This window comes from Homo sapiens, chromosome 20 (genome assembly GCF_000001405.40).
Source record: "Homo sapiens chromosome 20, GRCh38.p14 Primary Assembly".
In the NCBI taxonomy this organism is placed as follows: Eukaryota; Metazoa; Chordata; class Mammalia; order Primates; family Hominidae; genus Homo; species Homo sapiens.
Window position 1 is genome coordinate 34,319,490 of NC_000020.11, and position 14,864 is coordinate 34,334,353.

Sequence of the window (14,864 nt, forward strand, 5' to 3'; positions counted from 1 at the left end):
GATCACTTAAGGTTGAGAGTTTGAGACCAGCCTGGCCAACATGGTGAAACCCCGTCTTTACTAAAAATACAAAAATTAGTTGGGTGTGGCCGGGCGTGGTGGCTCAAGCCTGTAATCCCAGCACTTCGGGAGGCTGAGGCGGGTGGATCACGAGGTCAGGAGATCGAGACCATCATGGCTAACACAGTGAAACCCCGTCTCTACTAAAAATACAAAAATTTAGCTGGGCATAGTGGCAGGCGCCTGTAGTCCCAGTTACTTGGGAGGCTGAGGCAGGAGAATGGTGTGAACCCAGGAGGTGGAGCTTGCAGTGAGCCGAGATCATGCCACTGCACTCCAGCCTGGGCGACAGGGCCAGACTCCGTCTCACAAAAAAAAAAAAAATTAGTTGGGTGTGGTGGTGAGTGACTGTAATCCCAGCTACTCGGGAGGCTGAGGCAGGAGAATCGCTTGAACTCGGGAGGCAGAGGTTGCAGTCAGCTGAGACTGTGTCACTGCACTCCAGCCTGGGTGACACAGCAAGACTCCGTCTCAAAAAAAAAAAAAGATGTAAGTCAATGAAAATGACCAAGCCAAGTCTCAATCATTTTAGGAGGTTTCTTTGCCAAAGTTAAGGATGTGTACCAAGGAGGCAGGTTTATGCCTTTCTCGAAAGGTGATTTTGAGGACTTCAGTATTTACAGGGGAAGGGGTGGATATTGGGGGAGAGGAAGAAATTTTTTAAAGATGTGGCTAGATAAGAGACAAATGATTACATCCTTTTGAATCTTTGATCAGCCTTTCACTGAATACACAATTTATATGTGAGGTGGGGTAGAGAAATAGTAACTTATGCCTCTGTCTGGCTCAGTGGATCTGCATTTTTATATAAGATAATGTAAACAATAGGGCAGAGGAAGCAATCAGATATGCGTTTGTCTCAGGTGAGCACAGGGCTGCCTTTGAGTTCTATCTGTCCTTTGTCAAAAGCCTGTGAATATAATGATCAATTTACATTGCCACAGTGAAATTCAACAGAACTGTTTTAGGGTAAAGATGGGCAAATTGTGAGAGAGGTATGTAGCTTTTGTCTTTGTAGCTTTCTGATTTAGGAACCAAATGGGAGATGGGAGATGGGTTTGCGTGACCCAGTTCTCAGCTTGACTTTTCCCTTTGGCTTAGTGAGTTTGGGGTCCCAAGATTTTGCTTTTTCACAAAGAGCATGAGGGATGGGAGATGTTGTGACCATTTCTGAAAAATATACTTTGTCGCACCAGATAAGGGGGTGAGCTCTGGAGTCAGATGCTTGGATTAGAATCCTAGCTTTACTATTTAATGCCTATGAGTCTCAGTTTCCTCATCTATGAAATGGTACTGATAGTAGCACTGCTTTCAGGGGATTACTGTGAGAATTGAGTGAGATAAAGACCCAAAGTGCAGGATATCCAGCCCACGACCTATGTTCAGTGGGTATCACTGTTGTTGGAACAGGTCATCATACTAAGCTCTGACCAGTGTGGTTCACTGCCCCAGGCCATTGCCTGTTTGTATGTGTGTTATGAAACCTGGAGAGGTGTTCAAGGATATGTGTTCGAATGGGTCCATGTGCACATGCCATGGGAGCTGAGCTTGAGGGAATGAATGAGTGTGTGTATGTGTTTGTCAGTGTGAGTGGGTGTGTAAGTGGAAACTTGGGCAGGGGTTTACATACATGAGGGCACATGCAGTGCTATTGTCAGAGACGTGTGAACCAGAGGGACTCCATCTTAAAGAGGAAATGGGTAAAATGAGAGGCTGAGACCTGCTGGGCTGCATTCCCAGATGGTTTAAGGCATTCTTTTTTTTTTTTTTTTTTTTTTTTGAGGTGGAGTTTCTCTTTTGTCACCCAGGCTGGAGTGCAATGGCGTGATCTCGGCTCACTACAACTCCACCTCCCAGGTTCAAGCGATTCTCCTGCCTCAGCCTCCCAAGTAACTGGGATTACAGGTGTGCACCACCACGCTTGGCTAATTTTTTGTACTTTTAGTACAGACTGGGGGTCTCACCATGTTGGCCAGCCTGGTCTCGAACTCCTGACCTCAGGTGATCTGCCTGCTTTGGCCTCACAAAGTGCTGGGATTACAGGTGTGAGCCACCGTGATTGGCAGGTTTAAAGCATTCTAAGTCACAGAATAACATAGGAGATCTGCACAAAATGCAGGTCATAAATACCTTGCTAATAAAACAGGTTGCAGTAAAGAAGCCACCAAAACCCACCAAAGCCAAGATGGCCACGAGAGTAACCTCTGGTCGTCCTCACTGCTACATTCCCACTGCAGCCATGACAGTTTACAAATGCCTTTGCAATGTTAGGAGGTTATCCTATAAGGTCTAAAAGGGGAGGGATGAATCATCCACCCCTTGTTTAGCATATAATCAAGAAATAACCATAAAAATGGGCAACCAGCGGCCATTGGGGCTGCTCTGCCTATGGAGTAGTCATTCTTTTATTCTTTTACTTTCCTAATAAACTTGTTTTCACTTTATGGGCTTGCCCTGAATTTTTTCTTGCGTGAGATCAAAGAACCCTCTTTGGGGTCTGGATCGGGACCCCTTTCCTGTAACACTATGGATGTCTGTGAGTGTGTGGGACAGAGGAGTGAGACCTTGAGGTCAAGTGTAAGCATGTGTGTCTACAACTGTGCATAATTAGGACTGTGTGTGGGTAAGTTAGCTGGTGAGGGTTATAAGAATATGAGATATGGCCAAGCATGTGTGTTAGATTGAGTGTGTATGTGTGTATGAGTGTTATGTGTTTTCCAGAAGGTGCTTGTCCATGCCTGATACTTGCAAAAAATGAGAAAATGTCGAAACAAAGAACACTTTCAGAGCTTTACAGAGATGTTCAAAGCAAATGAACCTCTGGGTACTGTGACCAGCTGGGAAGATGAGGCGAGCCAGGTGGAGGGGTGTGGAGAAAAGCTTTTCTGAAGTTCCTAATCTCACTCAGGCAAGGAGCCAGGGACCCTATTAGGGTCAAGTGCTTCCCACGCACAGTTGCCTTCTTAGTTTAGATGACAGCTGCACATCTGGGCCTTCTTCCTCCTCATCCCCATCATAATTAGTGGTTAATTCGTTCATTCATACAACAAACATTTACTCAGTACTGACTTTTAAGTGAAGTTTAGCCTAAACCTGACTCCTCACATATTTTGAAGTTCAGCCTAAAGGTTTCTCTGTACATTGTGAACTATAACCTAAATGGAATTGTAAACAGACTGCAGCCTACTCTTGTGCCAGTCACCGAGTTTTGCCAATCAGGTGTGGCCAGCTATTCAAACCGTGTTCAAATAAGACAAAAACGCCATGCTATAACCAATCTGGTTGTTTCTACAGAAACAACATTTTCCTTTTTCTGTTCATAAATCTTCTTCCACCACGTGGCTGTGTCATAGGCTATACTCATAGGTCGAACCAGAGCAACACCATCTTGAATAGGGGCTGGGTAAAATAAGGCTGAGACCCTGCTGAGCTGCATTCCAGGAAGTTAGGCATTCTAAGTCACAGGATGAGATAGGTCAGCATAAGATACAGGTTACAAAGACCTTGCTGATAAAACAGGATACAGTAAAGAAGCCAGCCAAAACCCACCAAAAACCAAGATGACATGAAAGTGCCCTCTGGTCGTCCTCACTGTTCATTATACGCTAATTATAATGCATTAGCATGCTAAGAAACAGTCTCGCCAGTGCCACGACAGTTTACAGATGCATGGCAACAGCTGGAAGTTACTCTATAAGGGAAGGAAACTTCACTTCCAGGAATTGCACAACCCTTTCCCAGGAAACTCATGAATAATCCACCCTTTGTTTAGCATATGGTCAAGAAATAATGATAAGTATAATCAGTTGAGCAGCCCATGCTGCTGCTCTGCCTATGGAGTAGCCACTCTTTTATTCCTTTACTTTCTTTTTTTTTTTTCTGAGACAAGTCTTACTCTGTCGCTCAGGCGGGAGTGCAGTGGCGCGATCTCGGCTCACTGCAACCTCTGCCCCACAGGTTCAAGCAATTCTCCTGCCTCAGCCTCCTGAGTAGCTGTGATTACAGGTGCATGCCACCACGGCTGGATAATTTTTTGTATTTTTAGTGGAGACGGGCTTTCGCTGTGTTAGCCAGGATGGTCTTAATCTCCTGACCTCTTGATCCGCCTGCCTCAGCCTCCCAAAGTGCTGGGATTACAGGCGTGAGCCACCGCACCCGGCCCTATTCCTTTACTTTCTTAATAAACTTTTCACTTTGTGGACTTGCCCTGAATTCTTTGTTGCGTGAGGTCCAAGAACCGTCTCTTGGAGTCTAGCTAGATTAGGACCCCTTTCCAGTGACAGCTGCGTGGGAGTCTCTGAGCCTACACTGGCTTGGGAGGCTGCCCATTCTTTGCTCAATTAAACTCTTTTACGTTTAATTCAGCTAGTTTTTCTTTTAACACTACTAAGGGCCAGGAACTGTGCTACAGCAGTGAGCGAAGCCCTGTCCTTGAGGAGCTAATGTCCTAGAGGGGGGATATATATATATATAAACATTACACAGTTATTCTACACATATATAAACATTACATAGTTATACTGCACATGTATAAACATTACATATATAAATGTATATTACATATATAATATATATAAAAACATATCTATCTACACACACATAAAGATATTTGTGTATAGATATACACAAATATGGTGGAACTCAGTGGCTCATGCCTGTAATCCCAGCACTTTGGGAGGCCAAGGTGGGAGGATCGCTTGAGGCCAGGGGTTCAAGACCAGCCTGGGAACACAGCAAGACTTGTCTCTACAAAAAATTGTAAAAATTAGCCGAGCATGGTGGTGCATGCCTGTACTTCCACCTACTTGAAAGGCTGATGTGGGAGGATTGCTTGAGCCCGGGAGTTCAGGGTTACAGTGAGCTATGATTGTGCCACTACACTGCAGCCTGGGTGACAGAGTGAAACATTGTCTCTTAAAAAAAACAAAAAACTAAATATATTATGAACCATATAATATCAGGTGGTAGTGAGTGCTATGAAAAAAACTAAAAGAGATGGGAGTGACCAGGAGGTAGGAGACACTGTGGGGAGGGGTGTTGGGAGGCCTCTTTGCAGGGCAGAGAACTGAGTGCCAAAGTAAGTGTTTGGAGAAAGACATTTTGTGCAAAGGAAACAGCATGAACAAAGACCTTTAGGTGAGAACGTGTCTGGCACATTCCGGGACTAGCAAGGAGGTTGCTGAATTAGCAGTGAAGTGAGCTGAGGGCAGAGGGGAGGAAATTAGGTCATGAAGCAGCCAGGGGACAGAGGTCTGTGAGCTTGTGCAGGGAGGATGATGCCCCTTCCTTTCCTTTTCCTTCTTGACACCAGGATCCCTATAGGTCAATGAGAAAAAGACAAATCTCATTAAAAGAAGAAAGGAAGAAAGACTGGGCAGAGGACTTGAACAGGCATTTCACAAAGCAGGATCTCTGAGGGGCAGGATTAGTCTCTGTTTCTTACAATCAATTCGATCTTGCTTGACACATTCTCCCTCTTCACATCAAAACTTCTGCTCTTGTGACAGCGTGAGAGACCCTCACTCTACAATAAAAGTAAAACATTAGCCAGGTGTGGTGGCAGGCGCCTATATTGCCAGCTACTCCAAAGGAGGTGTGAGGATTGCTTGAGCCTGGGAGGTAGAGCCTGCAGTGAGCCCTGATGGTACCACTGCACTCCAGCCTGGGAGACAGAGTGATACCCTGTCTCAAAAAAACACACAAAAAAACAAAAAAAGAAGAAAAACAGTTCTTTTTTTTTTTTTTTTTTTTTTTTGAGACAGAGTCTTGCTCTGTCACCCAGGTTGGAGTTCAGTGGTGCGATCAGGGCTCACTGCAACCTCCACCTCCCGGATTCAAGCGATTCCTTTGCCTCGGCCTCCCAAGTAGCTGGGACTATAGGCGCCTGCCACCATGACTGGCTAGTTTTTGTATTTTTAGTAGAGACAGGGTTTCACCATGTTGGCCAGGCTGGTCTTGAACTTCTGACCTCAAATGATCACCCTGCCTTGGCCTCCCAAAGTGCTGGGATTACAGGCATGAGCCACCGTGCCTGCCCAGTTCTTTTTTTTGTTCTTCCCCTGCTCTAGTCAAGAGAGACAAAAGCAGTTCCTGCCATCCTCCCGCTCTCCGTTTGCTGAGGACTTCAGCCCCTGCCCCAAACTCTTCCTTTCCTCCCAAGCCTGCTGTCTCCTCGGGCGATTTCACATCCCATGAGGTTGACCCATCACACACCTTGGCCCTGGCCTCCACTTTGTCTCCGCCACCCACTGCAATGGCCACACTTTGGACCGTATCATACTGCTGGCTCTAGTCAGAATTTTGGCTACAAATAACATAAACCCAACTCAAAGTGGGTTTAACAACAGAGTGGATGCTATTATCCCATGTAACAAGAATCTGGAGGCTGCGTGGCTCAAGGGTATATCAATTCAGTGGACGCTCTGTGGACTTCATCAAGGACCCAGGTTCTTGCTGTCATTCTATTCTCCTGCCCTCAGGTATTGACTCTCTCATCAAACTGGCTCCCTACATGTTCACGTTACTCCAGACGAAACTATCACCCCTTTATAACAATGGCCAGAGTCAGAAGATAGGAAAACTTTTCCAGATGTGCTCTCCTTCTCCTCCTACTCCCACTACTTGTCAATACACTTCCCTAGGCCGGGCGTGGTGGCTCATGCCTAATCCCAGCACTTTGGGAAGTCGAGGTGGGCGGATCACGAGGTCAGGAGATCCAGACCATCCTGGCTAACACAGTGAAACCCCGTCTCTACTAAAAATACAAAAAATCAGCTGGGCGTGGTGGCAGGCACCTGTAGTCCCAGCTACTCAGGAGGCTGAGGCAGGAGAATGGCTTGAACCTGGGAGGCGGAGCTTGCAGTGAGTGGAGATCATGCCACTGCACTCCAGCCTGGGTGACAGAGCGAGACTCCGTCTCAAAAAAAAAAATAATAATAATAAAATAAACTTCCCTAGTGACCAGAATTACATTGCCTAACCTTGACTAAACTAAATGTTGATGGGTCAAAGTGTATTAAAAAAGAAACGTGGCTGGGTGCAGTGGCTCACGCCTGTAATCCCAGCATTTTGGGAGGCCAAGGCTGGTGGATTACCTGAGGTCAGGCGTTCGAGACCAGCCTAGCCAACATGGCGATACCCTGTCTCTACTAAAAATACAAAAATTAGCCGGGCATGGTGGCGCGTGCCTGTAATCCCAGCTACTTGGGGGCTGAGGCAGGAGGATCACTTGAACTTGGGAGGCAGAGGTTGCAGTGAGCCGAGATTGTGCCAGTGCACTCCAGCCTGGGCAACAGAGCAAGACTCCATCTCACAAAAAAAAAAAAAAAGAAAGAAACGCTTCTTATGGACAAAGCAGTTGGAGGTTGGCTTGTGGGTAGGCTATCCAGGGCTGGTATGGCAGCTTCATGGTATCATCAAAAACCCATAAGCTTAGGCCAGGCATGGTGGCTCACACCTGTAATCAAGCAGTTTAGGATGCGGAGGCCAGAGGATCACCTGAGCCCAGGAGTTCAGGACCAGCCTGGGCAATGTGGTGAAACCCTGTTTCTACAAAAAATCCCAAAACATTAGCCAGGGGCCAGGCACAGTGGCTCACACCTGTAATCCCAGCACTTTGAGAGACCACAGCCAGAGGATCATTTGAGGTCGGGCTTTCAAGACCAGCCTGGCCAACAAGGTGAAGCCCCATCTCTACTAAAAATATAAAAATTGGCTGGGCATTGCATTGCCAAGATAATCCTAAGCAAAAAGAACAACGCTGGAGGCATCACGTTACCTGACTTCAAACTATACCACAAGGCTACAGTAACCAAAAGAGCATGGTACTGCTACCAAAACAGATGTATAGACCAATGAAACAGTACAGAGGCCTCAGAAATAACACCACACACCTACAACCATCTGATCTTTGACAAACCTGACAAAAACAAGAAATGGGGAAAGGATTCCCTATTTAATAAATGGTGCTGGAAAAACTGGCTAGCCATATGTAGAAAGCTGAAATGGATCCCTTCCTTACACCTTATACAAAAATTAATTCAAGATGGATTAAAGACTTACATGTTAGACCTAAAACCATAAGAACCCTAGAAGAAAACCTAGGCAATACCACTCAGGACATAGGCATGGGCAAAGACTTCATGACTAAAACACCAAAAGCAATGGCAACAAAAGCCAAAATAGACAAATAGGATCTAATTAAACTAAAGAGCTTCTGCATGGCAAAAGAAACTACCATCAGAGTGAACAGGCAACCTACAGAATGGGAGAAAATTTTTGCAATCTACCCATCTGACAAAGGGCTAATATCCAGAATCTACAAAGAACTCAAACAAATTTACCAGAAAAAAACAACCCCATCAAAAAGTGGGCAAAGGATATGAACAGACACTTCTCAAAAGAAGACATCTGTGCAGCCAACAGACACATGAAAAAATGCTCATCACTGGTCATCAGAGAAATGCAAATCAAAACCACAATGAGATACCATCTCACGCCAGTTAGAATAGCAATCATTAAAAAGTCAGGAAACAGCAGATGCTGGAGAGGATGTGGAGAAATAGGAATGCTTTTACACTGTTGGTGGGAGTGTAAATTAGTTCAACCATTGTGGAAGACAGTGTGGTGATTCCTCAAGGATCTAGGACTAGAATTACCATTTGACCCAGCAATCCCATTACTGGGTATATACCCAAAGGGTTATAAATCATGCTACTATAAAGACACATGCACACACATGTTTATTGTGGCACTATTCACAATAGCAAAGACTTGGAACCAACCCAAATGTCCATCAATGATAGACTCGATTAAGAAAATGTGGCACATATATACCATGGAATACTATGCAGCCATAAAAAACGATGCGTTCATGTCCTTTGCAGGGACATGGATGAAGCTGGAAACCATCATCCTCAGCAAACTATCACAAGGACAGAAGAACAAACACCACATGTTCTCACTCATAGGTGGGAATTGAACAAAAAGAACACTTGGACACAGGGTGGGGAACATCACACACTGGGGCCTGTCAGGGGGTGGCGGCCTGGGGGAGGGATAGCATTAGGAGAAATACCTAATGTAAATGATGAGTTGATGGGTGCAGCAAACCAACATAGCACATGTATACCTATGTATCAAACCTGCAGGTTGTGTGCATGTACCCTAGAACTTAAAGTATAATTTTAAAAAAATTGGCTGGGCGTGGTGGCATGTGCCTGTGGTCCTAGCTACTCAGGAGGCTGAGATGGGAGAATCGCTTGAACCTGGGAGGCAGAGGCTGCAGTAAGCTGAGATCATACCACTGCACTCCAGCCTGGGTGACACAGCAAGATTCCGTCTCAAAAAAAAAAATTTATTATTTTTTTAAAATAGTAAAATCACTAAACTTGTGCAATGGTAGCATGGAAATTATCTGAGGTGTACTGTATGATTGTATTTTAACCAGGGTGGACATAGCTTAAATTATAAAAACTAAAGATGAAAGTACAAGGAAGCACAAGTATAAATTATACAAGTATAAATTCATGCTGCCTACTTCTAAGAGAACTTTCATTCTTCATAACCACATAACATTATAATGCCACTGACTCATAAGGGGTTTACATTAATTCTATGGGGGAGAACACTAGAATTATTAGTGTTCATTTTCATCTAAGATCTTTTTTCTCTAACATTCTTGGTCCTATTGAAACATTGCAGTATGCAGAAATACTGTAATGTTAAACCCAAGAGAAAAGCCATTATCATGTGTACGCTGGTCATCATGATCAGTGTGGTACAATTTAAAAAAATAAACTATCATGCCCTTCATGAAAAAAAAAAATTACCTGGGCATGGGGGCACATGCCTGTAGTCCCAGCCACTTGGGAGGCTGAGGTGGGAGGATCACCTGAGACCCAGGAAGTCGAGGCTACAGTGAGTGATGATGGCGCCACCGCACTCCGGCCCAGGAGCTGCTCATGTTATTTTACTGGCTTAACAGTGTTACGGCCAATGTCTCTGTGATTCTCTTGGCCTTTTCCTCATGATTGTGGCCTCAAGGAATGTATTCTTCCATGAGCAACGTGTGATCAGCCTCTCCGAGTGAGGTGCCAAGAGTGTTCCCGTTTAATATCTCACAATTAAATCAGAACTATTTACTGGGCATCATTTATTAAGCACTGTTTATTAAGCACTTTCTGAATGCCAGGCACCTTAAAAACATTCCCTCTAATTCTCACAATTCCCTACAAAGTTGAGATTATTATCCTTATTTAAAAGACAAGAAGGTGAGAATCTGGAGGTTGAAATTTTTAATTTAAAAAAAGAGAGAGAGAGGGCCAGGCACAATGGCTCAGGCCTGTAATCCCAGCAAACTTTGGAAGGCTGAGGAGGGAGGATAGCTTGAGCCCAGGAGTTCAAGACTAGTTTCATAGGGAGACCCCATCTCTTAAAAAAATTTAAAAATTAGAAGGGCGTGGTGGCCACACACCTGTGGTCTCAGCTACTTGGGACATTTGAGCTTGGGAGTTCAGGACTGCAGTGATCGATGATCCTACCACTGTACTATACTCCAGCCTGGGTGACAGATAAAAACCCTGTCTCAAAAAAAAAAAAAAAAGAAAAATGCTTATGAGCACAGACTGTGATGGAAAGGTGGAAATGCGACACGTGAAGCACAGAGGATGGAGGATGGAGGCTGGTACCACATAGGCCCTTGGTTGTATTTTCTTTTCTTTCTTTTTTTTTTTTTTGTTGTTGTTGTTGTTGAGACGGAGTCTCTCTCTGTCACCCAGGCTGGAGTGCAGTGGCGTGATCTCTGCTCACTGCAACCTCCGCCTCCTGTGCCAGAAGGTGAAAGATAAAAAGATTGTTATTTATAACAATCCCTTTTCAAACACACTTGAGTTTACGTTAATGAAAGGATTTGGGGAAAGTTCCAAGATAACCACAGGATGACGGGGGCTGGCTTCCAGAGGATCCAACCATTTGGTCAGAGGGTTGGAAGTTTCAGCCCCACCCCCAACCTCCAGGGAGGGGCTCAAAGTGAAGTTAATCACCAAAGGCCAATTATTTATCAATCATGCCTACATAATGATGCTTTTTTTTTTTTTTTTTTTTTTTTTGAGACGGAGTCTTGCTCTGTTGCCCAGGCAGGAGAGCCGTGGCACGATCTCGGCTCACCACAACCTCCACCTCCTGGGTTCAAGAGACTCTCCTGCCTCAGCCTCCCGGGTAGCTGGGACTACAGGCGCACGCCATCATGCCCAGCTAATTTTTGCATTTTTAGTAGAGACAGGGTTTCACTATGTTGGCCAGGCTGGTCTCGAACTCCTGACCTCGTGATCCACCCGCCTCAGCCTCCCAAAGTGCTGGGATTACAAGCGTGAGCCACCACGTCCGGCCTCCTTAAGTGTATTTTCATAATATACATACTAAGGAATACCGTGCAGCTGTTATAAAGAACTAGTAACTTGGCTGGGCAAGGTGTCTCACACCTACAATCCTAGTACTTTGGGAGGCTGAGGTGGGTGGATCACCTGAGGTCAAGAGTTCAGGAGCAGCCTGGCCAACATGGTGAAACTCCGTCTCTACTAAAAATACAAAAATTAGCCGGGCTTGGTGGCATGCGCCTGTAATCCCAACTACTTGAAAGGCTGAGGCAGGAGAATCGCTTGAACCCAGAGGGCAGAGGTTGCAGTGAGCCGAGATTGCGCCACTTCACTCCAGCCTGGGCGAAAGAGTGAAACTCCGTCTAAAAAAAAAACAACTAGTAACTCTATATGTATCTACATAGAAAAGAAACCTCAGCCAGGCACAGTGGCTCACATATGTAATCCCAGCCCTTTGAGGGGTGGAAGTAGAAGGGTCACTTGAGGCCAGGAGTTTGGGACCAGTCTGCTAAAACATAACAAGACCCTGTCTCTATTTTAAAAAGAAAGAAAAAAGAGAGAAGCCAGGCATGGTGGCTCATGCCTGTAATCCTAATACTTTGGGAGGCCAAGGTGGGCGGATTGCCTGAGCTCAAGAGTTCAAGACCAGCTTGGGCAACATGGTGAAATTCCATCTCTACAAAAAAAATACCAAACAAAAAAATTAGCTGGGTGTGATGGCACTCACCGTAGTAGTCCCCACTACTGGGTAGCTAAGGCAGGAGGATCACCTGACCCCAGGAGCTCTAGGCTGCAGTGAGCCAAGATCATGCCACTGCACTCCAGCGTGGGTGACAGAGTGTGACCCCGTCTCTTAAAATAAAGAAATTAATTAATTTAATTAAATAAGAAAAAGGAGAGAGAAAGAGAGAAAATAAATCTCTTAGTCACGGGGTTAAGTAGAAAAAGCCAGTTGCAGAACAACATGGCCCCCATGTAGAGCAAAATTATGTATTTCTACATGTTTATGCCACAAATGCATAAAAATAAGATTTGGAAGTGATCACGGCAGGAGGCAGACAAACGCCTAGGCAGACGGGGCAGGTCCCTGGCGAAACTCCACCTCCAAGACAAAGACAGCTTGAAGCCTGAAAGCCAAGCTACAAGTCAAATCCACGAATGAGACTGAGAACCTGTCTTCCTATTTGGTGCGCTTTCCTCTGATTGGTCCCCACCCTTCACCTAGTTTACATTTACCTACCCTTTCCTAATTGGTTTTTTACACTGTCCATGCCCACCTTTGAGTGATGTCTTTGCTTTAACCTTTTTTGCATACTCACAATCAGCATGTAGTCCCCATTCTGAGGCCATAAAAAGCCCCAGACCCAGCCACAAGGAGAGAGAAACCACCCCCACCCCCACATCCCCTCTCCGCTGTGAGCTGTTCCGTCACTCCGTAAAATTATCTGCCCTCATCACCCTTCAGTCCTCCACGTGACCTCATTCTTCTTGAACACTGGACAAGAGCTCGGGACCCACCAAGTGCGGGTACCCTGAAAGGCTGTCACACTGGCCCTCTGCCCTTCTAGGACGGCAGCTACCCCACGTGACAGGGCCAGGGGCCGACTGAGCTGCTAACACACCGACCATCCAGGGGGCTGTGGACAGTGGAACTAAAAGAGCTAATTAGCACACTAATACCCTCTCTGGGGCTTCAGGGTCGCAGGCATCCTTGCCTGGATGCCGCCATGTCCCCCTTGAGGCAATACACCTGGTGTGTCCACGGGCCCGCATGGAGCTTGCTCCTGTGTCAGTGCTTGGAGTGGCTGGCCAGATCCCGCACTCACTCACGTGCTCCCTCCTGTAAGGGGGTGAGTGCGGCAGGCCAAGTAGACAGGGCGCCCCTGCCGTGAGTCCAAAAAAAGAAAAGGCTGAGAAATATCCTGCATCAGAAGGATATAAACCACATTTATGACCTGTTATCTCTGGGGCAAGGATTGGCAGAAAGGGGCTGAGTGTGGTGGTTCACACCTGTAATCCTAGCACTCTGGGAGACTGAGGCAGGAGGATTGCTTGAACCCAGGAGTTTGAGACCCCCCTGGGCAACATAGTGAAACCTCGTCTCTGCAAAAAAAATAAACAAAATTAGCCAGGTGTGGCACACACCTGTAGTCCCAGCTACTTGGGAGGCTTGGGAGGCTGAGATGGGAGGATTGCTTGAGCCCTGGTTAAGTTGAGGCTTCAGTGAGCTGAGATTGTGCTACTGTACTCCAGCATGGGTGACAGAGCAAGACCCAGTCTAAAAAAAAAAAAAAAAAAATAGAATTGGCAGAAAAGCCAAAAGAGAAATGTTGCTTTTTTTCCCCTGGACTCTGGTCACTAACTACCTATGTGATCTTGAGCAGACTGTAGCACTTCTGTGCCTCAGGCTCCCCATCTGTAAAATAGGGACACATTCGTAGTTACTTGATAAATGGTTGTAAGGATTAAGTGAGTTAACATACATAAAACATGATAAAACATGAATAGTAGTGCCTGCTACAATGTTGGAATTAAATTTGTTTTCATTCTTCTGTGACTTTTCATGGTACTAATGGTACTAAATAATCTCTGTCTTGCTGGGCATGGTGGCTCACACCTGTAATCCCAGCACTTTGGGAGGCCGAGGTGGGTGGATCACCTGAGGTCAGGAGTTCAAGACCAGCCTGACCAACATGGAGAAACCCCGTCTCTACTAACAATACAAAATTAGCCGAGGTGGTGGCACATGCCTGTAATCCTAGCTACTCAGGAGGCTGAGGCAGGAGAATCGCTTGAACCCAGGAGGCAGAGGTTTCAGTGAGCCGAGATCGCACCATTGCACTCCAGCCTGGGCAAAAAGAGTGAAACTCTATCTCAAAAATAATAATAATAATAATAATCTCTGTCTTGATCAGAAGTTGGGGAGAGTCTCCCCTCACCATTCCTTCAGGGTCTTATGCGGAGGAAAAGCTGTTAAAAAAAAAGTGTAAAGGTCAAAAGTAATAAGGAAATCATGCCCTCTGCAGGGAAGCAGCCACCATACCCAGCCCACACGGAACGTGGCTGTGGCTGAGCAGTGCCCCCAGCTCCTGGGTGGGCCTCTCCTCCCTTCTAAGAGTTTCTGTAAAAAGATTTTTGAGTTAAAAAAAAAAGTGCAAAGGATTATATTGGAGACAGAGGGTTAAGACAATGACGCTAGGATAAAGACAAGCCTGTGGGTGGTGGAAAAGACTGGGTTGTGGGGTTGAGGGGGGTCCAAGATCCAGTAGGCCTAGAATCCAAGAACAGAAGCTAATTATCCTAGTTCATCAAATTTAAGATCCATCATTGTAATATACACCACTATTTTATGTTCTTTTTTTTTGAGACAGAGTCTTGCTCTGTTGCCAGGCTGGAGTGCAGTGGTGGCGCGATCTCGGCTCACTGCAA

At 45.7% G+C, this 14,864-nt stretch overlaps 1 annotated feature.

Annotated features, from left to right (window-relative positions):
* Positions 9,265-9,480: a silencer, noted in NCBI's record as "fragment chr20:32916560-32916775 (GRCh37/hg19 assembly coordinates)". NCBI's record gives its function as "represses an EF-1alpha promoter that drives an FKBP-Casp9 reporter gene in an ReSE screen in K562 erythroleukemia cells {active_cell/tissue: K562}" and the evidence as "EXISTENCE:reporter gene assay evidence [ECO:0000049][PMID:32094911]".